The sequence below is a fragment of the Homo sapiens genome, chromosome 3 (assembly GCF_000001405.40).
Source record: "Homo sapiens chromosome 3, GRCh38.p14 Primary Assembly".
Lineage (NCBI taxonomy): Eukaryota > Metazoa > Chordata > Mammalia > Primates > Hominidae > Homo > Homo sapiens.
This window is the reverse complement of record NC_000003.12, coordinates 25,638,636-25,653,961: the sequence shown is the minus strand read 5'-3', so window position 1 is coordinate 25,653,961 and position 15,326 is coordinate 25,638,636. Positions and strand designations below refer to the sequence as shown.

Here is a 15,326-nt window from a genome sequence, read left to right as displayed (position 1 = left end):
TATTGAGGTGTTTTCTTTCTATTTCTAGTTTGTTATGTGTTTTTATCAGGAAAGTGTGTTGAATTTTGTCAAATGCTTTTTGCACATCAATTGAGATGATAATGTGTTTTTTGCCCTTCATTTTGTTAATATAGTGTAGTACAATGATTTGTTTTCATATTTGGAAACATCCTTGCATTTCAAGTATAAATCCCATTTGCTTATTGTGTGTAATCCTTTTAATGTGCTGTTGGGTCAGGCATGGTGGCTCCTGCCTGTAATCCCAGCACTTTGGGAGGCCAATGCAGGAGAATCGCTTGCGGCCAGGAGTTTAAGACCATCCTGGACAATATGGTAAAACCTTGTCTCTAGAAGAAATTTTAAAATTAGCCAGGTGTGGAGGCACACAGTTGTAGTACTAGCTACTTGGGGCAGGGGTTGTGGGGTATTAAGGAGGAGGGTGGGTGTGCTGAGGTGGGAGGATCACTTGAGCCTGGGAGGTTGAGGCTGCAGTGAGCCATTGTCATGCCACTGCACTCCAGTGTGGGCAACAAAATGAGACCCTCTCTTAAAAAAAAAAAGTGCTATTGAATTGAGTTTGCCAGTATTTTTGGGGGGATTTTTTGCATCAGTCTTTATCACGGGTATTGTTCTGTAGTCCTCTTGTTCTGTCTTCTAGTTTTTGTATCAGAGAAATGCTGGCTTCATAGAATGATTCTGGAAGTGTTCCCTGCCCCTCATTTTTTGGTAAGAGTTTGAAGAGTTAATTCTTCTTTGATTATTTGGTAGAATTTTCAAGTGAAGCCATCTGGTACTGGGCTTTTCTTTGTTGGGAAGTTTTTGATTACTGTTTCATCTTCTTATTTGTTATAGGGCTGTTGAGATTTTTTATTCATGATTCAGTCTTGGTAGATTATATGTTTGGAATGTATTCATTTCTTCTAGGTTATCTAATCTGTTGCCATATGTGTGGTCATGTAAGTCTTTTATAATCTTTATTTCTGTGACATCAATTATAATGTCCCCTTTCGTTTCTAATTTTAGTTATTTGATTATCTCTTTTTTTTCTTATGTAATCTAGCTAACGATTTGTCAGTTTTGTTAATTTTTTCAAAAAACAAACTCTTGGTTTCATTGATTTTTTTTCCTCATTGTTTTTCTATTCTCTATTTTATTTATCTTTGTTTTAATCTTTATTTCCCTTCATTAATTTGGTTTAGTTTCTCTTTTCCTAGTTCTTTGAAAGGGTCTAAAGTTAGGTTGTTAATTCGAGATCTTTACTGATTGTTAATGTTAGGTGTAATACTGTTTTAGCTGCATTACATAAATATTGCTCTATTGTGTTTTGGTTTTCATTTGTCTCCTGATATTTTCTAAATTCGCTTGTGATTTCATCTCTCACCCATTGGTTATATGAGAGTGAGTTGTTTAACTTCCACTTATTTGTGGATTTTACTGTTTTCCTTCTACTATTGATTTCTAGTTTAATTCCATTTTTGATGGAAAATATACCTTATATGATTATAGTCTTCTTAAGTTTGTTAAGACTTGTTTTGTCACGTAACATGTGGTCTTTGTTGGAGAATGTTCCAAGTGCAATTGAAAAGAATGTGTATTCTCCTGTTGTTGATTGGAGTGTTCTGAGTATGTCTGTTAGGTCCAATTGGTCTATAGTGTTGTTCAAGTTCTTTGTGTCTTTATTGATCTTCTGTGTGGTTGTTCTATCCATAACTGAAAGTGGGCTAGTGAAGTCTCCTACTATTATTGTGTTGGTCTCTCTCTCCCTTCACTTCTGTCAGTGTTTGCTCATAAATTTGGGAACTGTAATGTTAGATGCATATCTTACTGGTGAATTGACCCTTTTATCATATAATGTCCTACTCTGTCTCTTGTGACAGTTTTTATCTTAAACTCTATGTTGTCTGATGTAAGTACGGCCACTCTCTTCAGATTCCAGTTTTCTGGAATATCTTTTTCCATCCTTTTATTTGTAGCCTTTGTGCATCTTTGGATCTGAAGCAGATGTCTTGTAAACAACCTGTAGTTGGATCTTATTTTTTTATTCCATTGGCCAATCTATGTCTTTTATTTGGGCACTTAATCTTTTTTTTTTTTTTTGAGACACAATCTCCCTCTGTTGTCCAGGCTGAAGTACAGTGGCACAATCTTGGCTCACTGCAACCTCTGCCTCAGGTTCAAGTGATTCTTCTGCCTCAGCCTCCCGAGTAGCTGGGATTACAGGTGGCTGCCACCATGCCTGGCTAATTTTTGTATTTTTAGTAGAGATGGCGTTTTACCATATTGGCCATGCTGGTCTCTTAACTCCTGACCTCAAGTGATCTGCCCACCTTGGTCTCCCAAAGTGCTGGAATTACAGATGTGAGCCACCGCTCCTGGCCCAATTTATATTTAAAGTAATTATTGACATGGACTCACTATTGCCATTTTGATTATTTTTTTATATGTCTTATAGCTTTTTTGTCCATCTTTCTTCCCTTGCTGCCTTCTTTTGTGTTTCATTGATTTTTTTTTTTTTTAGTGACATGTTTTGATTTTCTTCTAATTTCTCTTTGTGTATATTCTACAGATATTTTCCTTGACTTTACCTTGCCATTACATAACATATCTTCAGGTGATAAAAATAAATTTTAAATTAGTAACTTCAATGCCATATGAAAACTCTTCCTTTTTTCACCTCTGCCCTCCCCTGCTTTGTTTTTGATGATACTTTACCTCTTTTTATATTGTGTATATTTTAACACAGATTTAGAATTATTTTTTATGCTTTAAAAAATTCTATACTATATTTAAGTGATCTGTATTACTGTATTACAATACTAGAAGATGCCATATTTGTCTGTATACAAATAGTCTTCAAAAAGTTCATGGAAAATGTGTATTATGAGAAAACTATGCATGGATTTCAAAATTTTTTGGTATCAAAATAAACTTGTACTAACTTGTTATAACGTGTCTGAACAAAATCTAGTTTGCGGTACTAAGAAGGATAAGACATCATTTGGAAAAGAGCCCCTGTCAGAGCAATATGAATTATGCTAAAATTGAAGCAAGAACAAACATCAAGTTTATGAAGAAGCTTAGGTGAAAGAATGGTGAAATCATTGATTTACAATATGTTTACAGGGCCAATGCCTCAAATAAATGAGCAGTTTACAAATGGATAACTTCTTTTAAGAAGAGATGAGATGATGTTAAAGATGAAGCCTGCAGCAGCAGACCATTACATCAATTTGTCAGGAAAAGATTAATCATGTTCATGCCCTTATTTAAGAGGACCAATGATTAATAGCAGAAACAATAGCTAACACCATAGATGTCTCAGTCGGTTCAGCTTCCACAATTCTATATGAAAAATTAAAGATTCACAGACTTTCCATTCAATGAGTGCCAAAACCATTGTGCCTAGATCAGCTGCAGACAAGAGCAAAGCTTTTAATGGAAATTTTAAACAAATGGGATCAAGATACTGACACATTTCTTCAAATAATTGTAGCAGGAAATGAAACAGGGCTTTACCAGCATAATCCTGAAGACAAAGCACAATCAAAGCAATGGCTACTAAGAGGTGGAAGTGGTCCAATCAAAGCGAAAGCAGACAGGTCAAGAGCAAAGGTCTTGGCAACAGTTTTTTAGGATGCTCAAGGCATTTTGCTTGTTGACTTTATGAAGGGCCAAAGAACGATAACATCTGCTTATTATAAGAGTGTTTTGAGAAAGTTAGGTAAAGTTTTAGCAGAAAAATCCCCAGGAAAGCTTCACCAGAGTCTTTCTCCATCATGACAGTACTCCTGCTCATTCCTTTCATCAAACAAGAGCAATTTTATGAGAGTTTTGATGATAAATAATTAGGCATCCATCTTATAATCCTGATTTTGCTCCTTCTGACTTTTTTTGTTTACTAATCTTAAATCTTTAAAAGGCACCTAATTTTTTCAGTTGATAATGTAAAAAGACTGCATTGGCATGGTTAAATTCCCAAGACCCTTGGTTCTTCAGAGTTGAGCTAAATGGCTGATATCATCACTTATAAAAGTGTCTTGACCTTTATGGAGCTTTTGTTGAGAAATAAAATTTATATTTTTTATTTTTATCTTTTGATTCCATTTTTCCAAGAACTTTTTGGAGTCTCCTTGGACTTTACCAGGGAGTTATGTATTTTTGTGTTACTGTGTTGCTATTTTTTATCCTTTTGCTTTAAGGGACTCCCTTTATCATTTCTTGTTGGGCAAACCTAGTGGTGATGAACTGTCCCAGTGTTTGTTTATCTAAGAAAGTATTAATTTCTACTTCATTTTTGAAGGGCACTTTTGCTGGATACAATGTTCTTGGTTGGCAGTGTTTTTTTTTTTTTTCTTTCAGTACTTCAGATATATTCTTCCAATCCCTTCTATCTTGCAAGGTTTCTGCTGAGAAATTGGCTAGTAATCTAACAGAAGCTCCTTTGTAATTGATGATTCACTTTTCTGTTGCTGCTTTTAAGATTCTCTCTTTGTCTATGACTTTTGACAGTATAATTATGATGTGTCTTGGTGTAGTTTTCTTTAGATTTATCCTTGGAGTTCTTTGAGCTTCTTTAATTTGTATATGCATTTATGTCCTCAGATTTGGAAAGTTTTCAGCTATTATTTCTTCAAATAGGCTCTTTCTCCATTTCTCCCTTTCTTCTCCTTTGAGGCTTACATAATGTATATGTTGTTCTGATAGATAGTGGCCCATAAGTTCTTTAAGCTCTTTTTATGTTTATTCATTCCTTTGCCTTTTTGCTCCTTTCCCTTGGCAATTTTGAAAGTCCTGTCTTCAAATTTGCTGATTTAAAAAAATTCTGCCTGCTCAAGTCTACTGTTACATCCCTCTAGTGTATTTTCAATTCATTTACTGTATGCTTCAGTTCCAGAAATAATGTTTGCTACTTCATCATAGTTTTTATCTTTGTTGATTTTTTCCTTTTGTTTATGCATTGTTACACCGAGTTTTTGTTTGTTCATCTGTACTCATTTATTTCATTAAGCATCCTTATGGCAGTTAATTTGAATTCTTTGTATGACAATATATTTCCATTTCTTTAGGCTCAATTTGTGGTGATTTATTTATTATTTTTTTGAGACAGGCTCTTGCTCTGTCACCCAGGCTGGAGTACAGTTGTGTGCAGATGGCTCACTGCAGCCTCGACCTTCTGGGCTCAGGCAATCCTCCCGTCTCAGCCTCCCAAGTAGCTGGGACTACAAGTGTGCACTACCACACCTGGCTAATTTTTTTTTGTTTTGTTTTGCTAGAGATAAGATTTGGCCATGTTGCACAGACTGGTTTTGAGCTCTGGGCTCAAGGGATCTGCCTGCCTCAGCCTCCCAAAGTGCTGGGATTACAGGTGTGAGCCACTGCGCCTGGCTGCAATTTAGTTTTTTACATTGAATCGGCTGTATTTCCCTGTTTCTTTGTATTGTTATTTTCTGTTAGGGCTTTGGCATTTGAAGGCTTAGCTAACTCTCTGGTCTTTGCGGTCTGGTTTCATACTGGGAAGACTTTCTTCATCCAGTTAGTCTAGCTAGAGAATCCTGAGACCTCACAAATCTTTTATGGGGATGCATCCTCTTTGGGTTTGTAATTTCTTAATTGAAGAGGTTTGCCTCTGTCCATCTGTCTGCTCCCTCTGGTGTGTCTTTGTCTGCTTTACTTGTGGCGTCTCGTGCTGTAGTAAACTACAGTACTGGAGCTCCACCTTGTGTCTGTTTCTGATACTGCAGGGTCTGATGCTAAACCAAAGCACTTTGCTTTTGTTTTCAATGGCCCTCAACCTGGCACCCTGTTCAATGTCAGTACTTAGATTCAGTCAAGAAGTTTCTAGGGTAGCACTGCCCTCAGCTGTTCCATTGGAGGTATATTCCTTTTCTGCTCCTCCCCAGGGAGAAGGTGGAAGTTGTTGTTGTCTTGTTTGTTTTTCTCAATCTTGCCTTGCTGGGGCAGATAGGAGGGAGGACATGAGCTTTGATGCTATTTTATGCTCACCTGGGGTGCTGGAACTTATCACAAAGGCAGTTGGATTGTTTGTTATTGTTGAATCCTTGTCTTCATGGGGAAAGAAAGGCCTGGGGTTTCTTGTTTTGCCATCTGGCTGACCACACTCAAATGTTACCTGTTTTTTTTAGACATTATCTTAGCAAGAATGGTAAGTCTTTGAACTTGATAGGAATTTGGTGGGTTCAAGCTTTCAAACTTTTTTTTGTAATATATCCATTTGGGAAGAGGTGCAGGGAGGAAGAGGTGGTGATTATAAGTAAGGAAGTGTGGAAAAAGTTGTAAATTCTTGAAGAAAGCATGAGGTAAGGTTTTACTCCTGTTTTTTTTTTTTTATCCCTGTGTGCCCTTTAGTTCAGTTTAGTTCATACAAATTAGATAGACATGAGCCTCTGGTTGAGTCTAATCTTGAAAATATTTTCTTTGTGATGGGGTTGGTTTTAGAAGAGTAGCCTGGAATACGAAAGCTTTTATTTGTATGGTTATCATGTGTCTTCAACCTTTATGTCAATAATTGCAGACTTAGAATAGCAGTTCTAAGTTAATGGTAAAATGTTACCTACTTTCGATTCCATAGCATCTATCTTCTTTGAGTACTTTCTTAGAGTGTGATTTTAATGATTATGATCTTTGTTCTAACTATTTTGAGGCTTCATTAAAAAATAAATTATGATTTTATTGTTAGAATCGTTTCTATAAATTAACGTCACTGCGCCTGGCCCTTAAATGTAAATTTGTTTTTATCAATCAACTATTTCTTCATAAAAAGCAAAGAATACGATTAGAAATTTGAAGACTATCTGGTATTTTAAAAATAAAGTTCATCTTTCTGGCCGGCTAGTTCATCGTCTAACTTTTGCAGAAGTGGAATGTGAATGTGAAAACTTTGTGAAACAGAATTATTTTCTTTTATCCAAAGCTACTTTTAATTGTCTTTGAGCAGTGTTAATGGAAAAACTTATAAATGTAGGAATGTATAAGAATATAGTTTAAAATCTAGTAAAATGAGTTATTTTTAATACTTTTATTTTGAAATATTATTAAATCTTTAATTGTATATAAAACTTACTGCATTGTGAAATTATAATTAACGTTTGAGTTTCCTGAGGATATATTAAATTCTTATCTTCGTTTAGACTTTTCAGAGGTCATGTATTTTGATTTTTAAACATACTTAATGATACAGTTTTTAAAAATAAAAACTTTAAAGCGGAATTGAAATTGCATACTGCTTGTTTAAATGCACAAAATCTCTGTATCTCCTATTATCTGTATTCTGTTTCTTTAATTTCTACTAAAATTTGAAGGCCTCTGAAGATATTTTAATTCTCATTGTGTCTTTTGAGTTATTTTTTGATTCTGAAAAGATAGGCCATCACAATATCTTTTTAGTGGGATGTCATATTTGTCAGCATTAAGGAATCCCAGAAGGAGAGAAGTATATTCTCTGCTGCTCTTAAGAAGACAAGGAAATTTGTAGACCTTGGAAATTTGATTTGACATCCTCATCTGCTGTAGGAATGTTTAGAATTAAGATCACCAACCTGTGCCTCCTTGAAACTGGTAGAGAAACTGGGATCAGTATTGGGACACCCAGAGCTGATATGTGAGGAATTATTGGCATGATCTACAAATGTGTGAAATTTGAGGATTTTATAAGCCATTTCAGTCATATCAGTGTTTATTAACTACATAGGTTAATATTTTGTGTAGGTCATTTTTGTTTATACTGTAGTCTTCAGTAGCTTAATGGTGGGAAGCTTACATCTGGAAGCTTTTGGGGCTCCTGCACCTAGCCAGGTTCAGTCATTGTGATTCTGTAACTTCACCAGAACTCAAATTTCTTGGGAGGTTTTGAGGACCACAAAAATTAACTTGAGTCCAGGTGTGGTGGCTCACACCTGTAATGCTAGCACTTTGGGAGGCCAAGGCAGGCTGATCACCTGAGGTCAGAAGTTCGAGACCAGCCTGGCCAACATGGTGAAACCTTGTCTCTACTAAAAATACAAAAAAAAAAAAAAAATTACCTGGGCATAGTGGTGCGCACCTGTAGTCCCAGCTACTCAGGAGGCTGAGGCAGGAGAATCACTTGAAACTGGGAGGTGGAGGCTGCAGTGAGCCAAGATCACACCATTGCACTCTAGCCTGGGTGACAGAGCAAGACTCTGTCTCAAAAACAAAACAAACAAACAAACTTGATATCTTACAGAATTGGGAAATGTTTGTATTTTTGGATTGCTGGAGACTGCTCTAGTGATTCTGGTGACTATACCCACGTTTTGGGCTCAGTCAAAACTACAGGTTCATGTTGTATAATAAGAGCCAGACGGTCAGTAAATAGACCTGTGTTTTCTTTAGATTTAAAAAATCAGTCTGAAAGATAATTTTGCCATTAAAAAAGAAAACCCATGTCGTGTGTCCATACTCATTGTCTACCCCTTGGTAGGTTATTTAAATTTGATTTTTTGGTTAATTTTAGACTCTTTTTGATCAGAACAATGCTGCAAAAAAAGAAGAGTCAGAAACTGCCAACAAAAATGATTCTTCAAAGAAGTTGTCTGTTGAGAGAGTGTATCAGAAGAAGACACAACTTGAACACATTCTTCTTCGTCCTGATACATATATTGGGTCAGTGGAGCCATTGACGCAGGTAATTATTGCTAAAATTGATTGAAATTAGGAGATGTGCATCTATATTTACTTTTTAATATGTTGATAAAATTATTGTAATTACTTGCTTTGGAAATTTGTAATTTCATCTGTCATAGTCAAAGTAGGGTGAAAGATCTAGAAGTAGAAATGTATTTACTTCTTTTTGGGGATTAAAAACCGTCAGAAGAGGCTGAGCGCAGTGGCTCACACCTGTAATCCCAGCACTTTGGGAGGCCGAGGCGGGTGGATCACAAGGTCAGGAGATCGAAACCATCCTGGCTAACATGGTGAAACTCTGTCTCTAATAAAAATACAAAAAAATACAAAAAAAAAAATTTTCTGGGTGTGGTGGCGGGCGCCTGTAGTCCCAGCTACTCAGGAGCCTGAGACAGGAGAATGACAGTGAACCTGGGAGGCGGAGCTTGCAGTGAGCCGAGATCACGCCACTGCACTCCAGCCTGGGCGACAGGGCGAGACTCCATCTCAAAACAAAAAACAAAAATCAGAAAAATGAAGTATAGAGTAAAATGGTGCCATACGAACTTTTTATGTAAGTCTTCCCCACCCGCCATCTCCCATCACCCCCTGATGCCCCCCCACCCCGTGTCTCGCTCTGTCGCCCAGGCTGGAGTGTAGTAGTGTGATCTTGGCTCGGTGCAACCTCTGCCTCCTGGGTTCAAACGATTCTCCTGCCTCAGCCTTCCAAGTAGCTGGGATTACAGGCATGCGCCACCACGCCTGGCTAATTTTTGTGTTGTTAGTAGAGACAGTGTTTTGCCATGTTGGCCAGGCTGGTCTTGAACTCCTGACCTCAGGTGATCCATCCACCTTGGCCCCCCAGAGTGCTAGGATTACAGGCGTGAGCCACTGCGCCCAGGCTTGTAAGTCTTTAAGTTCATATTGTCATTAATGTTAATGGTAGTACCTTGCAGAATTTGTACATATACACTGACTATTGTTTACTGCTTACTAGGAACTTGGCTTACATATATTATCTCATTTGATCCTAACCATTTTGGGAAGTAGGTACTGTTATCTCTATAGATGAAGAAAGGGAAGCTTACATAAATTTAAGTAACTTGTTCATATCTCTCAACTAGTAAGAACTGGGATTCAAAGTAGATCTCTCTGACTCCAAAGTCTTGCTTTGTTCGTATTATTTTACTCTGCTCCCTGTATTATAAAAAAAAAAAAAAGCATTAATTTTCCATTATTTATGAAAAGTAATGTTTTTATTTTTTCAACTATTTAATACTGTTTCTAATAATTATTGATGTCTTACATTAAAACTGACTTTATAATAATACAAACTTGATACAAAATGAACAATTTCTCAATTTTGAGGTTAATTTAATATGAATAGTGAAGTTGACTATTACTGAAGTTGTATATGTTTTTCTACTTTGCAGATCTAAGTATTCATATAGTGTAAATGACAGGATGTGGATTATACTATGAAAAATTGATATTAAGGATTTATTGAGTAAAATTTTTTTTGAATTTTTCAATGCAGTTCATGTGGGTGTATGATGAAGATGTAGGAATGAATTGCAGGGAGGTTACCTTTGTGCCAGGTTTATACAAGATCTTTGATGAAATTTTGGGTGAGTACTTGCTTAGGATTTAATGCATGTTTCTATTAATATCATCATAGTGTCCTTTTATATATAAAGCCAGACTTAACCAGTATAAATTTGAAAGGTGTATCTCTGGCTTTTATCCTTCTGAATATAAATGATCTTCAGAAAATTTATACCATGATCTGTAATGTTTTCATATCTCTGTTTCATCTTTGTTTCATTTTCTTCATCTATGAAATCAATGTGTTATATTTGTAATCCCATAGTTGGTCTGTACTCCTCTATGTGTAGTCATCTGGGATATGCTAGCATCACAGTTACCTGGAGTCATCTTGAATATGGAGATGACAGGGACTGATTTTGCAGATTCGTTGAGTTGGTGGGATATGTAAATATGTTTTTCACCAACAAATCAGATATTTCTGTTGGGCAGCCAAGTGTAATAACCATTGCTGTAAATGATCTCTGTCCTCTCCAAATCACATGATTAATTAAATTATGTGAATGCCTAGTTGACTGCTAGGGAATGCTTGTACTTTGGAAATATTTTAACCAAGGACACTCTAGAAATTCTCTTGCTCTCCCACCTCATCAGTGCAACTTGAGGTTTCTTAGTGCAGTTGTATGGGTCTCAGAACTTCTTCTGTTGGTATTTGGTGAAGAGATAAGAGATTAAAACTGTGTTGCATTTTATACCTTTACTCTTGCCTCCATATTATAATTTTACTGTTTTAAGTTTATTGCAAGTGTTTGTCAGGAGCATATTTCTTCTATGATTGTGTTCAAATTTCCTTGAAGCAGTGGTTAATGAATGCAAAAATATTTATATTGTCAGCTATAGTGCCTAGGATACAGAATTTTGATTTCTAAGGGTGTTAAAGACTTTTTCTTTGTTTGTAACTGAAAATGAACTGGTTTCTATTCAATATGCCTATAAAGTCACTAGTTTATTGAAAGTGATCAATAGAATGCAATTGCTTGTTACCAAGAGAAAATATAATTAAACAAAAGTTTTTACTTTTAGACCTGGATTTGGGTGTTGTAAAATGCAGGTGTTTGTTCTTACTTAATATGTTTTGATTAATATGTATCACTAAAACATTTCCTCCTCTTTTTTTGTGGTGGAAAACATAACAGTAATTTGGTGTGATAATACAATTTAGGAATATTATTTGGAAAATAAGATTTTATATGAGAAGTTAATAGTAATTATTTTCATTAACTATTACCATATGTAGATGTTTATATTAAGCAGTGATGCACATACAGTTGTGTCCATGTATTTATTTATATAATTTTGTATATTACTCATTGAGGTGTTTAATTTTGTAGTTAATGCTGCTGACAATAAACAGAGGGATAAGAACATGACTTGTATTAAAGTTTCTATTGATCCGTAAGTATATTTAAAGTTTAATTTTTTATGCTAAGTTTTATTCAGATAGTCCCCAATTTATGAGTACTCCTCAAATAATGTATATGGGTAGTACTCTTTTAAAGTTTCCCTGTTGTTTGAGACTTTGTTATTTTTGCCTCTTTTCTGTGTCATTTATTGTCTTTTCTTCCAAAGAACTTCCCTATCGGGGCTCTTGGAGACCATTTTTCTTTGATGCTGTGTATGCTATTTCAGCTGCTAGGGTAATCACCCTATCTTTTCTTACCCTTACTTTTGGGACTCAAGGCTAAGGGCTATTGTTAGTGTGATTCCAGTTATATTATACTTTAAGTTTACTTTTCATGACTGGTGTTTGGAGTTTTCCATTATTTATGACATAATTTAATAGATTAGGTACTGTTGTTGTAACCAGTTGTTTAGCTAATTATATTACTGTGGTGATTTTTATTATTTTTTTGCATAGAATGAAGATGTATAAAAAATAGTAGCATTAAATCAGAAACATAGCTGTTAAATTTATCCTGTTTTTACCAGCATGCCTTTTGTAAAATATTACATTCATCCTTTGTAATTTCATTAGTAATTTAGCATGATTTTAAGATTTTTCTCTAGTAAACATAAAAATCTAATAATTCAGGTATAGTCTTACTAGTAATAATCTAATTTCAGTTAAGATTAGTAGTATAATAAAACTATAATTTGTATTTGGTTATACCATGAAGTTAACTATATTTTATATGAAAATGTTACCATATAACTGTGCTGTCGAGATTATTTATTTTTTTCTCCATTTTTTTTTAAATTTGGATTATTTCTATAATGAATGCATTCTTGAGAAGTTATATAAGGCATACAAGACATAAGTTACAACTTATACAGAAGTTTAAGATGGTTTCAAGGACATTTTGGCTGTTAAGATTCCTTTTCCTTATTTAGGCAATTGTCAGTTAAAAACCATATCTCCCTTCATTTATTATGTTTTAGGAGAGTAAGGAGTAATAGACACTGAATGTTTGATATCTTTGAATTTTTTTCAAAATTGAACAACTCTAATTAAAACTAAGAAAGAAAGGACCTTCCTTAAATACACTCTTGATGAACATAGTTGCAATTGTTTAGTTCTTTTATGTGGTTCTGGCCATATTAGTCCAAAGATTTTAGCCACATTAATGCAATAAGATTGAATTTAAGAAATAGTGTATAGCATGCCATCATAACAAAGTGATAAAGAAGTGAGCTAAGCCAGGTGCGGCAGCTCACGCCTGTATTCCTGGCACTTTGGGAGGCTGAGTCAGGCAGATCCCTTGAGCCCAGGAGCTCGAGACCAGTCTGGGCAACATGGTGAAAACCTGTCTCTACAAAAAACAAACAAACAAACAAACAAAAACACCAAAATTATCTGGGCATGGTGGCGGCATGTGCTTGTAGTCCCAGCTACTCAGGAGGCTGAGGCGGGAGGATTGCTTGAGCCTGGGAGGTCAGGCTGCAGTGAGCCATGATTGTGCCACTGTACTCTAGCCTGGGCGACAGAGCGAGACCCCATCTCAAAAAAAAAAAAAAAAAAAAAAAGACAACGAAGAAGTGAGCTATAAGACAACTCTGTAGACTGGATAAGGGCTCTTGGTTTATTTTACTTATCAGTTCATTACAGATTTTGTAGAAAGAGTAATTCAACATAATTCTAGTAATTCTAGTGCCTTTATCACTTCATTTTATACTCTGTTTTTAATCAGCAAACATTTTTGTGTAGGCAGAAGAGGGAGGGAAAATTATAACTAAGTTTATTTGCTTCTTAATGTCAATGAGGTATCAATTTTTTTTTCATATCCCCCACCTCATTTTAACTGCTTCTGCTAGAAAATTATTTTATTTCAATATAAACAAAAATCCTTAGCTATTCCAAGAAGAAAAGGTGATGGTAGTATATTTTTTCACCCCTCCTTTCTTGTTTCTTTTGTTGTTTACAAATCATTGATGAAAAAATTGAGTCTTGATCTTGCCTTTAATTGAATTTCATATACTCCTAAAATTGGCAGTAGGCAAGCATTTTGTGAGAAGTTGCTGATTTGTATATTGTATTTCTGAGTTTTAACTATAACATTTTGTCTCTTGTGAATTTTGTCCCATAGTCATTTTTTACCACATATACTATAGAATTAGTATTATTTTGATTAAAATAAATGTTATTTCAGAGGTGCAATTTTTGCTTCAGTAAGATTTCTAATTTAAGAAGTCATTTTAAAGCTAAATTTAAATGAGAAAAAGAGCTGTTGCACTGTTGATCCAGTTGATCCAGTTTTCTCTGCTGTCCATTTTTGTATCCTTTGAGTTGCATTCTTTTTAACATTTTTGTATAGCAGATTTTTATTTTTGTACATTTGTGCACATAAACTTCTTGTGTGGAGGAGAGGTTAAATTTTAATAGCTAATGGACAAAGTATATAGGATATATAGTACAACCTAGCTCTTATTCTTTCTTTTCCTCCATAGTATTCTGTGATGTAGGGATAAAATTTAAGGAAAAGGTCATGGTTGTAAAGCCTTGAGAACAGATTAAATACAAGGGATGCCATGCAGAATTTGGACAGTTCTTCCAGAAGTTAGAGAACTTAGAGCAACTTCTTACAAGGGAGCTTAACACTTATTAAATAATACAACATAACAGTATTGAAACAATTTATTTGTGGATGTCTATCTGATTAAAAACAAATGTGGAGGCTGGGCGCGGTGGCTCACGCCTGTAATCCCAGCACTTTGGGAGGCCAAGGCGGGTGGATTATGAGGTCAGGAGTTCGAGACCAGCCTGGCCAACATGGTGAAACCCCGTGTCTCCTAAAAATACAAAAATTAGCCAGTCGTGGTGGCGTGCTTCTGTAATCCCAGCTACTTGGGAGGCTGAGGCAGGAGAATTGCTGGAACCCAGGAGGCAGAGGTTGAGTGAGCTGAGATCGTGTCATTGCACTCCAGCCTGGATGACAGAGCGAGACTCTATCTCAAACAAAAACAAAAACAAACGTGGAAAGCATATTAACCAGAGTTGAAAATATTCCTCTAGCTTAAGTGTTCTTTATTTAGAGTTGAAATTTTAAAACTGTAGCTTTCAAAAAATATTGCATACTCATGCTAAATTATATATGTAGACATTTCTTTTTTTAACAAACGGAATCATAGTATATATACTATTTTATGTCTTTCCCTTTATTCAACATATTATAGACAGCCTTCCTTATTAACTTACATAGATCCACTTAATTTTTTAAAACTACTCGCAAGTATTTTATTATGTTGATGTGTCACAATTTATTTAACCTCTTGCCAACTGATAAGCATTGGATATTTAGATTTTCAATTTTTTTCAGCCTAATTATTTTTGAAACTTTATTTGTAAACTATTAAATGCAGTATTCTTATTCCTAATTTTTATTGAAGATTATCAGTGGAGCAAAGTTATAAAATTCTGAATAATTGTTTAGAGATTACAGAAATAAATACCAGATCTGAGAAATGATACAGATTGAAATTTTATAAGAGAGGTGAGTTTGATAGCCAGTTCCAATTTCATACTCATATGGACTTAGAGAATGTTAAGGATGCCAAACGTTGATTTTTTTTTTTGAAATTGTGATGAAGATAATTAACTTACAGAATGCCTATTTTAATTACAGTACCATGTGCTAAACATGATG

At 35.1% G+C, this 15,326-nt stretch overlaps 1 protein-coding gene across 5 annotated transcripts in view; it reads left to right on the top strand.

Annotated features, from left to right (window-relative positions):
* The window catches only part of TOP2B (DNA topoisomerase II beta), a 67,003-nt gene that overhangs the window by 10,946 nt on the left and 40,731 nt on the right, over window positions 1-15,326 (top strand). For 3 of the 5 annotated variants that reach the window (XM_011534057.4, NM_001330700.2, XM_047448822.1), the window contains exons 2-4: window positions 8,492-8,662; window positions 10,178-10,268; window positions 11,577-11,640. In XM_011534057.4, coding sequence (XP_011532359.1) covers window positions 8,492-8,662; window positions 10,178-10,268; window positions 11,577-11,640 — 326 coding nt within the window. The remainder of the gene's footprint in view (window positions 1-8,491; window positions 8,663-10,177; window positions 10,269-11,576; window positions 11,641-15,326) is intronic. The other 2 variants (XM_047448821.1, NM_001068.3) reach the window with 1 other exon arrangement.